A 14,529-nucleotide genomic window follows, 5' to 3' on the forward strand; every position below is an offset into this window, starting at 1 on the left:
AGACAGAAGGAGCAAGAAAGCACCCTCAAGCCTCTTTTATAAGGGCACTAATCCTATTCATTCAGGTGGAGCCCTCATGAGTTAATCACTTCCCAAAGGTACCGCCTCTTAATACTATTACACTGAGTATTAGGCTCTAACATATGCATGTGGGGGGACACTGCATTCATACTGTAGATAAAAGGAGCCGAAGAAACAAACAGCCTCTCGCATAGTGTTGTTTACATCCTTCTAATGTCTCTAGAGAAATTCATATATAAATAGGGAATACTTTATATGCCTGATGTGGCCGGTGACCAGAATGCCATTATTTAGGAAGAGTAGAAAAAGTAGCAGCTCTGATAACTAAGGAAAAAAATAAACCCACAAATATGAGGCTTATTCAGTTAAAATACCAAACCTAGGAGGATGAGCTTCAACTGCTTGCCATAAAAATCTCACTACAAGAGTCTGCAGCTTTCCACTGCAAAACTAGAAAATTAAATATCTTTCATCTTCATTTTCACACCCTTTACTGTATTTTCTTACTAATATTAGGAGCCGCAGATGGCAAATCAATAGAATGTTTCTATGATAGCATGGACCAAAAAGAATGGTGTAGAAAGAGATAAGTCTGTCTCTAGCTATTCCATCGTGGCTTCATCAATTGGACAGGGTGAATGTCACCTCTGTTGCCGATTTAATCCTCCTCTTTCAAGTCTGGACACCTGCATTCCTCAACTATCCTAGCTCCAGGGGAGGACTAACAGGGAGGGAATTTGTTTTTTTAGGTATTGAAAGAAAATCACATCAAATAATAAATTACTCTCTATATCTCTTTTAAAACTGTCTCGTGTGTCTTTAAAATGTCATGGGAGAAATAAAAAGGTACACTGAGAGAGTATGCTCAATGAAATATTTAAACCATAAAGGCAGCAAGGCCGGTGATTAAGGAGATTAAATAGATCTGGATGATGGATACAAATCAGAAGCATGTTGTCAAAGATTAGTAGATATTAAAGCTCTTTATTGTCCTTCCAACAGAAAAAAAAAAGCAGTAATACGGTTTTTTTGATGTCAGTCTGAGCCATCAAGCCATTATGTAATTTTTATCTTTTCTTACTCCTTTTGCCATGAGGCAAGACAATTTATTTCCCCTGTAGTAAATAAATTTCCTCTGCCTCAAACATGCTCTGAATGTAATCCTGGGCTAGCCACCCACCTCTTAGGATTCACTTTCCTCATTTGCTAAAGGAGGGAATTGGTTCTCATAGTTCTGACATTCTGTGTTTCTCTGAAAGATGTTTAGAGAGTTCTAGGATGTGAGTTATCATATATCATCTACACTAAGACACATTTAATTATAAGATAAGCCATTATTTTATGTACTACTAACAAAAAAAAGATCCTGCCAACTAAACTATGACAGAATACCCTAACTATAGCCCTGTGACCTCAGGATTAATCACACCAGCCTCTCATGCTTTGAAATAAAGGACAATTCCTGCCACCCTCCATTGCATTGCTTGGTTGATTTTAGACAGTTCATTTGTATGTATCTCACTAATAAAACAACACAATTTTGCTTGTAGGTATCTTTCTTTCTCAGGTCCCATAAAACTCTTGATTCTTGTTCTTTTCAGAATAATATATGGAACTGCAATCATTTCTCTGATGATGAATATTTGCTTCACTAGTATCAAATTCATGCCCCACTATGTTCATGCCTTCTACAAATACGGGAATCATAGTGTAATTTTTTTAAAATTTAAACAACAAGTAAGCTCAACATGTTATTACCAATAGTGTCCTTAACTGAATGGAAGTCGTGACAACATGAACAGCTATGACTAATTTTGAACCTGGGCAGACCAGGACAACTACATCATGGCTACAGTCTAACTGACATCCCTACTGACTTCAGAGATGTCAAAAAACAACCAGGAACCTGGGCAACATTGTGAAACCCCATCTCCACAAAAAACACAAAAACTGGCCATGCATGGTGGCATGCACCTGTAATCCCAGCTACTCAGGAGGCTGAGGTGGGAGGATTGCTTGAGCCCAGGAGGTCAAGGCTGCAGTGAGCTGAGATTGTGCTACTGCACTCCACCCTGGGCAACAGAGTGAGACCACATCTCAACAACAACAAAAAAGTGGAGGATGGTGGCAAGGAGAAAAATATGTGGTTTAGAACTGATGAACTGAGATGTCTTCTTCACCTCCAGTGAGAGAGGAGTGGCATATAGCAAGCGTTCCCTAAATATTTGCAGGTTGTTGAAGGACTGAATGAAAGTATAGATGAAAGGATGAATGAAAAAACAAACAAGTAGCTAATTGGGAATGTTGAGAAGGCACTTTACTGCCTTCTTTGAGATTGCTTCTTATGGCAAACTGCACTGCAGTCTTGAATCACCACGGCTGGCTAAAATCATGGCGACCCAACCTTCACCTAAGACTCTGGAATCTGATTCACATTCACCTCCCAGCCTCTGCTGACCTCTCATGCCTCTATCAGACTGCGAAACTGAATGCTAAGGTCCACGTAGAGGACTCAATGTAACACAAGAGCTTACATTTCCTTGACTCCTCAACACCAGTGGCCTTGCCTTCTTATCCTCCCCTGCAGCTGCTCCCAGCCCTACTCCTCCTTGTCCTTGTTTTTCCACCATTCTATGACATCCCATCCCTGCATATCGACTTCCTGCCTTCTGCATCCAGGTGGCTACAAGCAATTATATAGATTCATTTGCTCCAACTTTAGGTGACCCTCAAGCTGCTGCTAACCTGTTCCTTCTGTCATTCTTCTCAACAGCTCTCTCACGCATTCTCTTTTTTTCCTTAAACCCTCAACACCTTCATCACCTGCAACTTCAGTAAATCATCTTTCTACTTTATGAGAAAATTAAAGCTATCAGGTCGGAACTCCCTGAGCTCCATCAACAACACCTAAAAACTCTCAGTCTAATTCTATCCCTTCTTTCTCTCCTCTCAGGACATTTTCTCTAGTTCAAAACTAATCCCTCCATCTGACCTCTGCCTACGCCTCAGGAAACTGTTACTCTATTCGTTATCCTCTCTATCTCCTTTACTCCAAGCTTCCCCTCTACTTGATCTTTCCTGGCAAAATATAAATATTATCATCTCTAATCTAAAAACAACTTCCACTCGCCCACTCTTCTCTTCTAGCTCTTAGTCATTTCTCTCTTTTTCAAAGCCAAGTTTTTTAAGTCTACCTATTATTGTTGCCTCCACTTTCACCTCCCATTCACTTACAAATCTAGTGCAATCTGGCAAACATGTTCACCATGCCAACAAAATTGTTCCCTAAAGTCACTAATTACCTGCACAGGGCTATCCTTACCTCACTTGACCCCTCTACAGTATTTAATGCTGTGAAATATTCCCTCCTCAACATCTGTTCCTTTTGGTTATTGTGATACTGTTCTCTCTTCCTTTTTCATGTCCTTCTCTGTTTTATTCTTTGGTCAGACAGAAAAAAAGTTTTTGCTTTCCCCAGTCTACTTATGAGTTCTCTTTGGTGGTCACAAATACACTATTTCAGCTTCTGCATATGACCCACAGCCTCAAATCTCTACGCCCAACTGAAACTTCTCTCTGCGTTGATGATAACAGGTCTCAAACTCATCATCTTCCCCCATAAGCCTGCTTCTCTTCCTGCCTCAGGTGTCAAGCCATGCACACAGGTGTCAAGCTGGAAATGTGTCCCTTCCTTTAGATGTGCCCCTCCTCACCCACACATCTGATTGGTTACTTAGGCTTTTAGAGCCTGTAAGCCACCCTCTCTGTAATCCACTTCTACTGTTTCTACTTTAGCTGAGGCCTTTGCCATTTGTCATGTGGATCATCATAGTGGGCTGCTGGGTGTTTCTTCTCTAATCTATCTGCCACACTGCTGCCACATACCACATTACTACCAGAATAATCTTTCTAAGATGCAAATCAATCAGATCATGTTTTTTCCCTGTTTAAAAATACTTCGATTGTTCTTCCGGTAGCTTTCAGGATGGAATTAAAACATGGAACACACAAGATCCCCCATGATACGCCCCTGCCCACATCTTTAGCCTCTTATTCCATCAGGTACCTCTAATGGCTTCCTGTTTTCTGATCACACTTGACTGTATACACATGATGTTTCATGCCCCTGAGACTCCTCTGGGGATACTCTCTACCTTCTTATCTCTGGCCCAGCTTACTAACTGCTGAACATCCCTCTCAAGCATCTTTTCCCTAGGAAGCTTTAACTACTTCAATTGGGAGCCTCTCTTCCATTCTAGAAGAGCAACTGGTGCATACCCCTATCACCTCTATTATCATTAATGATTTGTTTATACGTCTGCACTAGAATATACCCTCCATGAAAGCAAAGACTGTATGTTTTTGGCTGAAGGTGTTAAAAATATTAGCATTAAATGAATGACTAAATGAATAAACCACTGAGCTTTTGGGTCTAAAAACAAGGTCAAGTGAATAAGGCATTTTTTATAATCAAGACAGAGTAAAACTTTTAGAAAAATTAAGTAGTGATAACAGTGAAAGAACTGTAAAAGAAGTGCTTTATTATAATTAGATATCTATATTTATATATTTCTCTAAATTGTATCATCCCCTTAAATGTGTTAACACAGCTATTATTGTTTTGGTGTCTTGATGATATTTTAATTTTAAGTGAAGAAACTAATTTATTAGTTTTAGCATCTGGATCCAAACTCCTAATAAAATAATTCAAGTGGAGCCAATGTACCTGAAACACAATCTGGACACCATAGTATACCTTAGGCAATTCAGGTTTTCTTACCAAATACCTTAACTGGGTATTTCAATTTATCCAAAGCCAGGCATAGTGGCACATGCTTGTAGTCCCAGCTACTCAGGAGGCTGAGGCAGGAGGATTATTTGAGCCCAGGAATTCAAGTCAAGCCTAGGCAACATAGCAAGATTCTGACTCTATAAGATAATAAAATAAAATGTTTCCAAGATTTTATCCCAACATACCTTTCACCATTATTCAGCACTAAATCTACATTCAAGTTAAATTAAACTCCTAAACACTCCCTGAAAATGCTCCACATTTTCCCAATGTGTTATTTCCTCTATATGGGCCTTAACTCCTTACACTGAGAATCTCTTTGCTCCATTTCTACCTGTTTAAATACTAAGTCCAACTCCATGCACATACAGTTTTCTGATTCCTTTCAGAGAGATTTTGTGCCTTTTATCACATCCAGTTTTATGTATTTATTTATTTTTATTAATTTATTTTTGCAACAGGGTCTCACTTTGTCACCCAGGCTGGAGTACAGTGGTGCTATCATGGCTCACTGCAGCCTTGAACTCCTAGTTCACTGAACTAGAAGTTCACTTGAACTAGATCACCTAGATCACTTGAACTCAAGTGATCCTTCCACCTCAGCCTCCTGAGTAGCTGGGACTACAGGCACACGTCACCATGCCCAGTTAATTTTTGCTTTTGTTTTTGTTTTTTGTAGAGATGAGGTTTTGCCATGTTGCGCAGGCTGGTCATGAACTCCTGGGCTCAAGGGATCCTTCTACCTCAGCCTCCCAAAGATTTGGGATTACAGGCGTGAGCCACTGCACCCGGCCTACTATACTTTCTAATTATTTGTTTTTTCTTACATTGGGACACAGCTGATTTTTGCATTTTAATCTTGTTTCTGTGGATTTTGCTGAACTCTCTTAATAGTTTGTAGATTGTCTTCAATTTTCTATGTAGATAATCACATTGATTGTGAATACTGTAGTTTGTTTCTTCCTTTCAAATCCTTAGGCATTTAATTTTTTTATCTTATTACTGCCTGCTAGGACCCCCAGTACTAAATTTAATAGAGGTAGTGATGGTGGACATTCTTGTCTTATTCTTGACTTAAAGAATGCTTCTAACAAATATTTAACCATTAAGCATGCATACTAAGCATATTATTTGCTGTAAATTTTGGATGAATATCCTTTATCAAGTTAGGGAATTTCCCTCTGTAATGATTAGCTAAGAATGTTTACTGTGAATTAAATTTTATAAAATGTTTTCTCTGCATCCATTAAAATAATTTGAATTTTTTCTCCTTTAATGTATAAATGTAGTAAATTATAATAATACATTTTCTAATGGTCTTTTTTTTTTTTAAGAGATGGGGTCTCATTTTGTTGCCCAGGTTGGTCTTGAACTCCTGAAAGTGATCCACCCGCCTCGGCCTCCCAAAGTGCTGGGATTACAGGTGTGAGCCACTGCGCCCGGCCTCTCCAATGTTCTAATATTATATTCTGGGATAAGCCCAAAGGGATCACAAATATTAGCTTTAATGCATTGCTAGATTTAATTTTCTATTATTTTGTTTAGAATTTTTACTTCTGCATTTATGAGAGATTGGTCTATAATTCTCCTTGTCTGGTTTGGTATCAAAATTCTGCCAGCACTATAAAATAAGTTACAGTCAGTTCTTCCTTTTCTATTATCTGGAATAGATCATATAAGATTATGATTATCTTGTTCTTAGGTGTTTGGCAGAATTGCTTATAAATCCCTTTAGCCCTGGTATGTTTTGTTTTTGTAGGTAGATTTTAAACTACCAATTCAACGTTTTAAAAATAGCTATAGTTTTCTAATTAGATTTTCTGTTTCTTCTTGAGTCAGTTTTGTAAGTTTTCTTTTTCTAGGGAACTGGCCATTTCACATAAGTTTTCAAATTTAGTTGCATGAAGTTTATAATCATCTCCTATTGTTTAAAAAATGTTACCTATGTAGCGATTTTCTTTTTTTAATTCCTGTCAGTTTTATTAGTCTTTTCAAAGAACCAGCTTTTTGTTCTCCTGATCCTTTCTATCATAACTTTGTTTTAAATTTTATTAATTTCTGCTCTGTTAATACTTCCTTCCATTTACTTTCTTGTGTGTATGCTATTGTTCCATTATTCAATGTCTTGAGATGGACATGTGACTCATTAATTTCCAGTGTTTCTTCTTTACTAAATAAACATTTTAAAGCTTTTGTAAATTTCTCTGCGTAAGTTTTGGAATATATTTCATTATTTAGCTCTCTATATTATCTAACTTTAGTTATAATTTGTTCTTTTATTTAGGACTTAATCACAATTGATTTATTCCTAAAGTTATTTAGAAGTGTTTTAAAATATCTGAGCGCATGATGTTATTAAAGCTTTTTTTAAAAACCGATCAGATAACATGATCTATATGATACTGACTTGTCTGGGCTGAGATGGTGTCATGATGTCACCAGAGACCTGGATCCTTCTATCTTTCTGTTCTGTCATCCTAATTCATGGCTTCCATCACAGACCTTTTTTGTATTTCCCATTGTTTTCAGTAAAATGGTTTGCACATAGCAGCTATAGGGTACATCCTACATCATGCTACATAAGAAAGATTTAACAGCCCAAACAATAATCATGAGATTTATCATGAATCAGTCTCATCAGCTTTTCTCTTTCAGAATTCAGAATTCGAAGTTCAGAGCCCCATTTTGGATTTGCACATCAGAGGTCTGGACTCTATCCCACGCCCCAGCTCTGGACCTCGAGGGCTGGCTCCAACATTAGGCATTTGGGGGATATTTATTAGATTAAAGAATACATAATTAGAAAAGAATGAATACTCCCTGCATGCTAATCCTGCTAGCCCCAAACTAGAAACGGATGGCAAATGTCACAAATAGTAATTCAATACTCTTTCTAAAGAGATTGGAACACAGTCTACAACAAGGCAGGCTTATAATGCGAGCAGAAGCATCACGTGCTGCACATTCTTGGGGAGAACAATTTAAGGAAAATTAATTTCTAAACAATAACATTCTGAAAGCCTCTCAAACATATATGTTCACCAATCTCCTGGCTGACCTGTCACAAAGGGTCACTGTTGTTCACAGCACAAGCAGTCTGTCTACTCAGGACAGCAGCCACTTAACCCCAGATATTGTCCACAGAGCAAATCTAGGTATATGAGCCAAAGGCACATGTATATTGGGGAGCAGGAAACCTGAAGTTTAGGGTAAATGATTTCTATCATGTTCTGTAGGCCACGCTTGACAGTCCTGTAACTGCACCCTTCCACCTTGCTTTGGCCAAGTTAACACAGTTTGGGTGTGGTTGCTCATAAATATTCCCAAAGAGCAATGACGATTCTTTTGGATTCCTGAACACACCATCTCTGTTGTGGGAGAACTCTGGGGTATGTTTCCAGCTCTCTCAATGAAGTTTTAATCAAAGCACTGTTTCCTTCCCGTTGTTGCTTTTGGAATGGCCTTGTTCTCTGAGTCCTAGCTTTGACAACAGCAACTGTGCTGAACTTTTCCACAGCAGCTTTTGGATTTCTGCCCCACCCCCTCCCATCTGCACGCCCCCATTTCCTCTCTTCTCTGTTTTGGCTCTGCGTGGCTCTTCTGAGTAAAGTGGCTGAAGAGTAATGAACCCAAAATACCTAAGTAACAAATGAGTCACCACACTTCCACAGAAGAGCTCTGAGGATCAGTGGGTGTGTTGGGGGGTAAATAGCAGAGGAGGTGGCTGCCCAGAGAGAGGGAGAGAGAGAAAAAATAGAAACAAAACGAGCAAGTTGGCAGAGGTGGCTGAGAGCAGCTGAGTGGGTGGAGGGGGCGGGGAGCCGGGTTGTGTTGGCTTGCAAAGGTGAGATCAGTGCTGTGGCTTGTCACACCCTGGCTGACTCAAGCTAAGCCCAGGCCCCTCGGGAACTGTTCACACTGGGCTGTCTAGTAAAAATCAGCTAGACAAGTCGCCTAACTGCCGTTCTCTTGTGTTTACAAGTTCTGAGTTGTAGGGCTTGGAATTCTTTGCTCAAGTTGCTGCAAAGCTGCTAATTAGGAACCTGCAATGATATTGCTCTAGGGCCATTCCCTTTCTGGTTATATGGTATCTGGGTGATAAGAGTCAGGGCAGAATTTAAATTTCTTCTTTGTACTTTTTTGTTTGTTGGGAATGTTTAGAATGCATCCTTTTTTCAAAACCTTATCTTGAAGTGTAGTGGTGGAGCTGGATCGCCACCTCAAAGCTAAGGCTCCAGGCAGCATTGATCCTGACCATGCCCAGCACCCTAAGAGGATGAGGCTCTGCTGAGAGATCCTGGGATGCTGCCCCATAGGGCCAGCTTTGCTTAGAAGCCACTGGGAATTTGTCCTGGCAGCTTAAGTTATGACTCCTACTTTTTTTTTTTTTTTTTTTTTTTTTTTACCTTTCTAAGTAAAAAAGGAGTGGAATAGGCAGAGCCCTTGGAACAAGACAAATGGTCTGATTTCATGAGGTTCTGCCTGGCCAGCCCACAGTGGACTTTTAATCTGTCACAAAAAAAACCAGAAAGAAAATCCATGTGTGCAAAGAACAAGGCCTAAGATTCATTCAGGACTGTTAATGTGAAATGACCTCCGGGAGAATCTTTTGAAAAAAGAATTATAAAATGTCCTCTGAGACAGGTGGTCTCAGATCACAAGGATAACAGGATTTGATCACAAGCTGTCTGGTTTTCTCTTAGGTCAAAACCAGGAAGTTCAGGGACTAGCTTACAAACAGAGGAAAACAAAATAAGTTGATTTGGATTTTTAAGCCTCCAGCAACGTTTCACTTCACTTGACCCTGCAGTGGGGGCTGGTGTCAGCCTTTGATTTTATCTTCTGCAGTTCTCCCACCCCTATCCCGCATAAGTATAAAACCAGATGCCACGACTTGGAAAGAGCAAAATTTGATCTTGAGAGGAAGTGGGAAAATGTAAAACTAACACAGCTTTGGCAGCTAGAAAGAAACAACTATAGCCCCTGCAAAGAAAGATTCACACCCTAGGCAACATAGTGAGACAGCATATCTACAAAAAATAAAAAATAAAAGAATTAGCAGGTTGTGGTGGTGTGAGCCTGTAGTCCCAGCTACTTGGGAGGCTAAGGCAAGGGAATTGCTTGAGCCCAGGAGGCCAAGGCTGCAGTGAGCCGTGATCATGCCACTGTGCTCCAGCCTGGGCAAGAGAGATAGACAAAAAACGGAAGGAAGGAAGGAAGGACAGATGGAAGGAAGGAAGGGGAAGGGGAAAGGGAAGAAGGAAGGAAGAAAGAAAGAAGGAAAGGAGGGAGGGAAGGAAGGAAGGAAGGAAGGGAGGGAGGAAGGAAGCAAGGAGAGCGAGAAAAGAAAAAGAAAAAAACAAAGACCGAGACCAAAGACTTGATAAAGGTGAACTTTCTGAACCCATAAAGTTCCTTAAGTGCTGCCTCTGCTCATTTAGTCTTCTGCTCACCTGAGCCCACTGATGAATAAATGAAAATCTTTGGAAATGATTCATGAAAATCATCACAAGGAAGCATATTCTTGGCCTCTGAAGTCTTCATTTCAAAATGAAGTTTATAGTTTAAGACTATAAACAATACACGATTCTTATAAAAATAAAAGTAGAAACAAAAAATATTAGCCATAGTTCCAACCCTCAAATGTTAACACTTCAGTGTGTTTCCTTCCAGTTCTCTTATAGGCATATAGACTTATTCTTGTAACACAGTTGCACTCATTCTGTATATATGGAATTGTGTATGCTGCTTTTTGCTAAATATATATTACTGTTATCATATAGAAAATTATGCAACCATCATTATTAATAGTTGCCTAATAACCAATACAGTTAATCAGCCCATCTTCCCCCACTATGTTTTGGACATTAAATTTGTATTCAGCTTTTTAAACTGTAAGTCTTGATTTAATTAATGTACGAAATTTAGAGCTTTTTGAATCAGCCCCACTACTTAGCCATGTAGCAAATCTTACCAATATCTGGACCAGCAACCTGAAGGCTGCAGGAGGAACCTATAGGACAATCAGAGGGAGGTACTAGTACAGATTCCTCGGGCTGTAGGAGTTTCTGGTACAGGGGTCTTGAAGGACAAAGAAATTGCCTGACGTAAGGTCACCAGCCCTCTAGCTGTGTATTCCCTGTCCAATGTCACCCACAAGCCTCATTTCCAGCTCAACATCTTCAAGCATCCTAGAGAATAGAGATGACATTTTCAATGAGTGAAAAAAAACAGTAAAACAAAGGACAGGGATAACACATGGCAAAGCTGAGGATCTTTTTTGTTTTAACATAAAGGGTCATATTGTCTCTTATTCTCATTTCTTATTGGAGCATTCTGACATCTTTATTTTGGGCTTCCCTGGTTAGGTTACCTGCTGGAGAGGTGTGTTTAGAGCTGCAGTTAGGGCAGCAAAAGCAGAGAGAGTTGGCACCAGTGAGGATGGGCAGAGTTGGCTATGGATATAATCCATCATTTGCCAAATAGCTCAAAGTTGTATGAATATCATTAAATATTTCATGTAAATGCTGTTTTTTTTCAAGGGCAAGTCCTGTTTCATAGAAAATATAGTTCCCGAGCATAGTAAAGGAGCATGTGCTCCATACTAAGCACTTCTAAATGATTATTTCATTTAAGAATCTCAACAATTCAGAGTTAAGTGCTCTCTTCTCCAGTTTGCACATAGGACAATTAAACAGCAGAAAAGTAAAATAAGTTGCCAAGAGGACTTGCTAATAAATGTTTGAGCCAACATTAGAACATAGAGCTGACTTCAAAGTTTGTGATCTTTGCTCTACATTATGCTGCCTCCCTTGTTAAACCTAACAGATAAACATAAGTGCAATTTTAAAAAAGAGTTAATGCTTATTGATTAAAGGCAGGGCTTTCTCTGGGATCCAGGAGTCACCATTATGGGTAGGCAGGATCATTTACAACATTCTTTTGAGGATCCCTTTAAAAAAAAAATGACCACTGGGTCCAGCCAGGTCAACAATGGATGAGGAACTCTTCCATGGAGTTCTGAAAGGCCCTACAGAGGCTCTGACAACAAGGAGGCCACAGGACAGCTTCCACCTCCCAGTTTTTCCTAGGCCAATCCTTGGGACATAGTATGGTTGATGGAAATGGAAACTATTGCTTCTTGGTGCATTTTTTAAAGGAATGGTTAAATTATAACGTAAGAGTCTGTTTTCCCACTAGACTTGAGTTTTATAATATCAGGGACCATGTCTGTCTTCTTCATTGCCATAGTCCCATTCCTTGTACAGTGCTTGGTCCATAGCAGATGATCTTAGTCCATTTGAGCTGCTATAACAGAATGCCATAGAGTGGGTAGCTTATGAACATCAGAAATTTATTTCTCATAGTTCTGCAGGCTGGGAAGTCCCAAATCTGCAGTGCTGAGAGATGTGGTGGCTGGCGAGGGCCCACTTCCTGGTTCATAGATGGCAGTCTTCTCACTGTGTCCTCACATGGTAGAAGGGGTGAGGAAACTCACCAGAGTCCTTTTTATAACAGCATAGCACTAATTCTCCTCTTAAGGGCTCTACCCTTATAACCTAATCACCTTCCAAAGGCCTCACCTCTAAATATCATCACATTCAGGATTAGCTTTCAATGTATTGATTTGGGGTTAGGGGGTCATAAACATTCATTCTATAGCATAGATGCTTAATAAAGTTTGTTGAATGAATAAATAAATGAAAATATTATCCGGGCGAAAGGTGTGGGCTGGAGTTAAGGATGGCTCATGGTCAATGCCTGCATATAAATGTATTCCTCAAGATGTGTGGTCTGAATTGAGGTGGCCTAAGTCAAGATATGTCAGGAGTATATGTAGTCAGTTTCCACTTTTTAATATCCATGATAAGCCCTTGGTCACAAGCATGAAGCCATCTGAAATGAGGAGTGAAGAGTTTCCTTTTTTCCCCTGTCATTGCAGCACGGAGTGAAGAAAAACTTTATTTTTCTTACTTCTCCTTGATTCCTCAATCAAACTGGATTTATGTTAGGCTTAGGAAGACAATCCCTACTACACAGAGTGTTTATAGGATCCTGCTTGTTTCCCAAAGGGAGAATTGGGGCTGAAAGTGTGCATTAAGCCCAGTCTTTAAGCAATTAATATTGTGCCCAAGAAATAAAAAGCATGAACATTACAAGTGGATTTTGTCGTAATCCTACATATCCCAAATGTGTATACTCCAGGAAAGTCCAGATCCCCAACAGAAGCCCATCTGCTATATTTCTAGTGTGACACTCCTCTGTTTATATTTGCTCATTTCTCTTACAGAGTGCCAGGAAAGAAAAAGCGATATTTAAAAAATTCATCTGCTAGTATTTATGCAAACACATTTCTCTCCAAGTGTGGGTTGAGCAATGTGAGTAAAGCAGACATAAATGCCTCCGACAGACCACAGAGCAATTTTCATAAAGAAAGGGGAGAAATATACACCTAGAACAATTGAAGTTGGCGGTGGAGGGGTGGGAACTTTCCTCTGACCAGCAACACTCAACAGGGGAGACATTCTAGGTCTCATGCCGCAGACTTGGAGGCTCATTTGAACCATTAATGACTCTATTGAGTTTCTACTATGTGCTAGCCAGTTTGGAGATTATAAAAGCTTAAGACTCCTCGTTGAGAACATAATAGTAAATAATTATAAGACAGCATACTACTGACATAGGAAAAAGGGGAAGAAACACTGTGAGCCTCAGTTAGGTGCCACTCTTTGCTAAGTGTTTCACATATATTATTTCATTTAATTCTCACAACTATCCTATGATGTAATCATCCTCCTTTTTCAGACAAGGCTCACAGTGGCCATACAACTTGCTCAAGATTATATAACTTAGGCTATTTTGAAAATCCCTGTTCTTTCTGCTATACCATACATAAGATGTTTCCATGGTTTATAATCAAATGTTATATATGTTTGGAATCTAAATAGCTAACATTTGTTGAGTGCTTACTATGAGACAGGCAAAAGTCTTTTTTATATACGTTAACAGATTTAAACTTTGTAACAACCCTAGGAGGTAGATACTGTTATTATGCCATTTTAGGATGAAGAAACTGAGTTTACATATAAGTAAAGTTGTCCACATCACAAGGAAATACCAGAGCCCAGTTTGGATCCAGATTCCATATATTTAAGCATTACACTATCCTGCCTACCCTTTGAGGAGCACTTTTTTTTTTGTCCCACACGCTTCAAAACTGTTGAGGAGCACTTTTAAGCACCTTCTATTACATACCCCGGACCAACCATCCCAAGCCTACATTGAGCAACCTTCAGTAAACACAGTGTGAAAGTAGAAAAATTCAAACTGTGTTTCTCCTCTGCTTTCACACCACAACAATCATCGCAGAAGACTTCTGTGATGAACAGAAGTCTGTGTGACCACAGAAGTCTTCTGTGACCAAATGTGTGTGGGTCTATCCTCACACAGCAAGCAAGCGAGCAGTTCTGCAGTGGATACCAGCTGGGCTCCCTCCAATTCTGTTCCAACACTATCTACCTGGCGATAGCAGTAGAAACCACAGGTTGAGGGCTCAGTCTCACAAAGCTGCCCCTACTTCCTACCAGTCGCAAGTCTGGGCCTCAGAACTTCCGACCAACTGACTTCAAGTTGGGATTCCTACGATCCTCTCTTTGAAGTCCATTGATTTGCTAGAGTGGCTCAAGGAACTCAGAGAAACACTTACGTTTAACTGG

The 14,529-nt window shown here is 39.6% G+C and overlaps 1 protein-coding gene across 1 annotated transcript in view, besides 5 other annotated features; it reads left to right on the forward strand.

Moving 5' to 3' along the window:
* The window catches only part of RAP1A (RAP1A, member of RAS oncogene family), a 174,683-nt gene that overhangs the window by 42,454 nt on the left and 117,700 nt on the right, over positions 1–14,529 (forward strand). The window lies entirely within an intron of this gene.
* Positions 3,584–3,723: an enhancer, noted in NCBI's record as "active region_1501". NCBI's record gives its function as "activates an Ori minimal core promoter by ATAC-STARR-seq in GM12878 lymphoblastoid cells {active_cell/tissue: GM12878}" and the evidence as "EXISTENCE:reporter gene assay evidence [ECO:0000049][PMID:35858748]".
* Positions 8,689–8,738: a silencer, noted in NCBI's record as "silent region_1184". NCBI's record gives its function as "represses an Ori minimal core promoter by ATAC-STARR-seq in GM12878 lymphoblastoid cells {active_cell/tissue: GM12878}" and the evidence as "EXISTENCE:reporter gene assay evidence [ECO:0000049][PMID:35858748]".
* Positions 12,146–12,355: an enhancer, noted in NCBI's record as "active region_1502". NCBI's record gives its function as "activates an Ori minimal core promoter by ATAC-STARR-seq in GM12878 lymphoblastoid cells {active_cell/tissue: GM12878}" and the evidence as "EXISTENCE:reporter gene assay evidence [ECO:0000049][PMID:35858748]".
* Positions 13,099–13,258: an enhancer, noted in NCBI's record as "active region_1503". NCBI's record gives its function as "activates an Ori minimal core promoter by ATAC-STARR-seq in GM12878 lymphoblastoid cells {active_cell/tissue: GM12878}" and the evidence as "EXISTENCE:reporter gene assay evidence [ECO:0000049][PMID:35858748]".
* Positions 14,299–14,358: an enhancer, noted in NCBI's record as "active region_1504". NCBI's record gives its function as "activates an Ori minimal core promoter by ATAC-STARR-seq in GM12878 lymphoblastoid cells {active_cell/tissue: GM12878}" and the evidence as "EXISTENCE:reporter gene assay evidence [ECO:0000049][PMID:35858748]".

This window comes from Homo sapiens, chromosome 1 (assembly GCF_000001405.40).
Source record: "Homo sapiens chromosome 1, GRCh38.p14 Primary Assembly".
Taxonomy (NCBI): domain Eukaryota; kingdom Metazoa; phylum Chordata; class Mammalia; order Primates; family Hominidae; genus Homo; species Homo sapiens.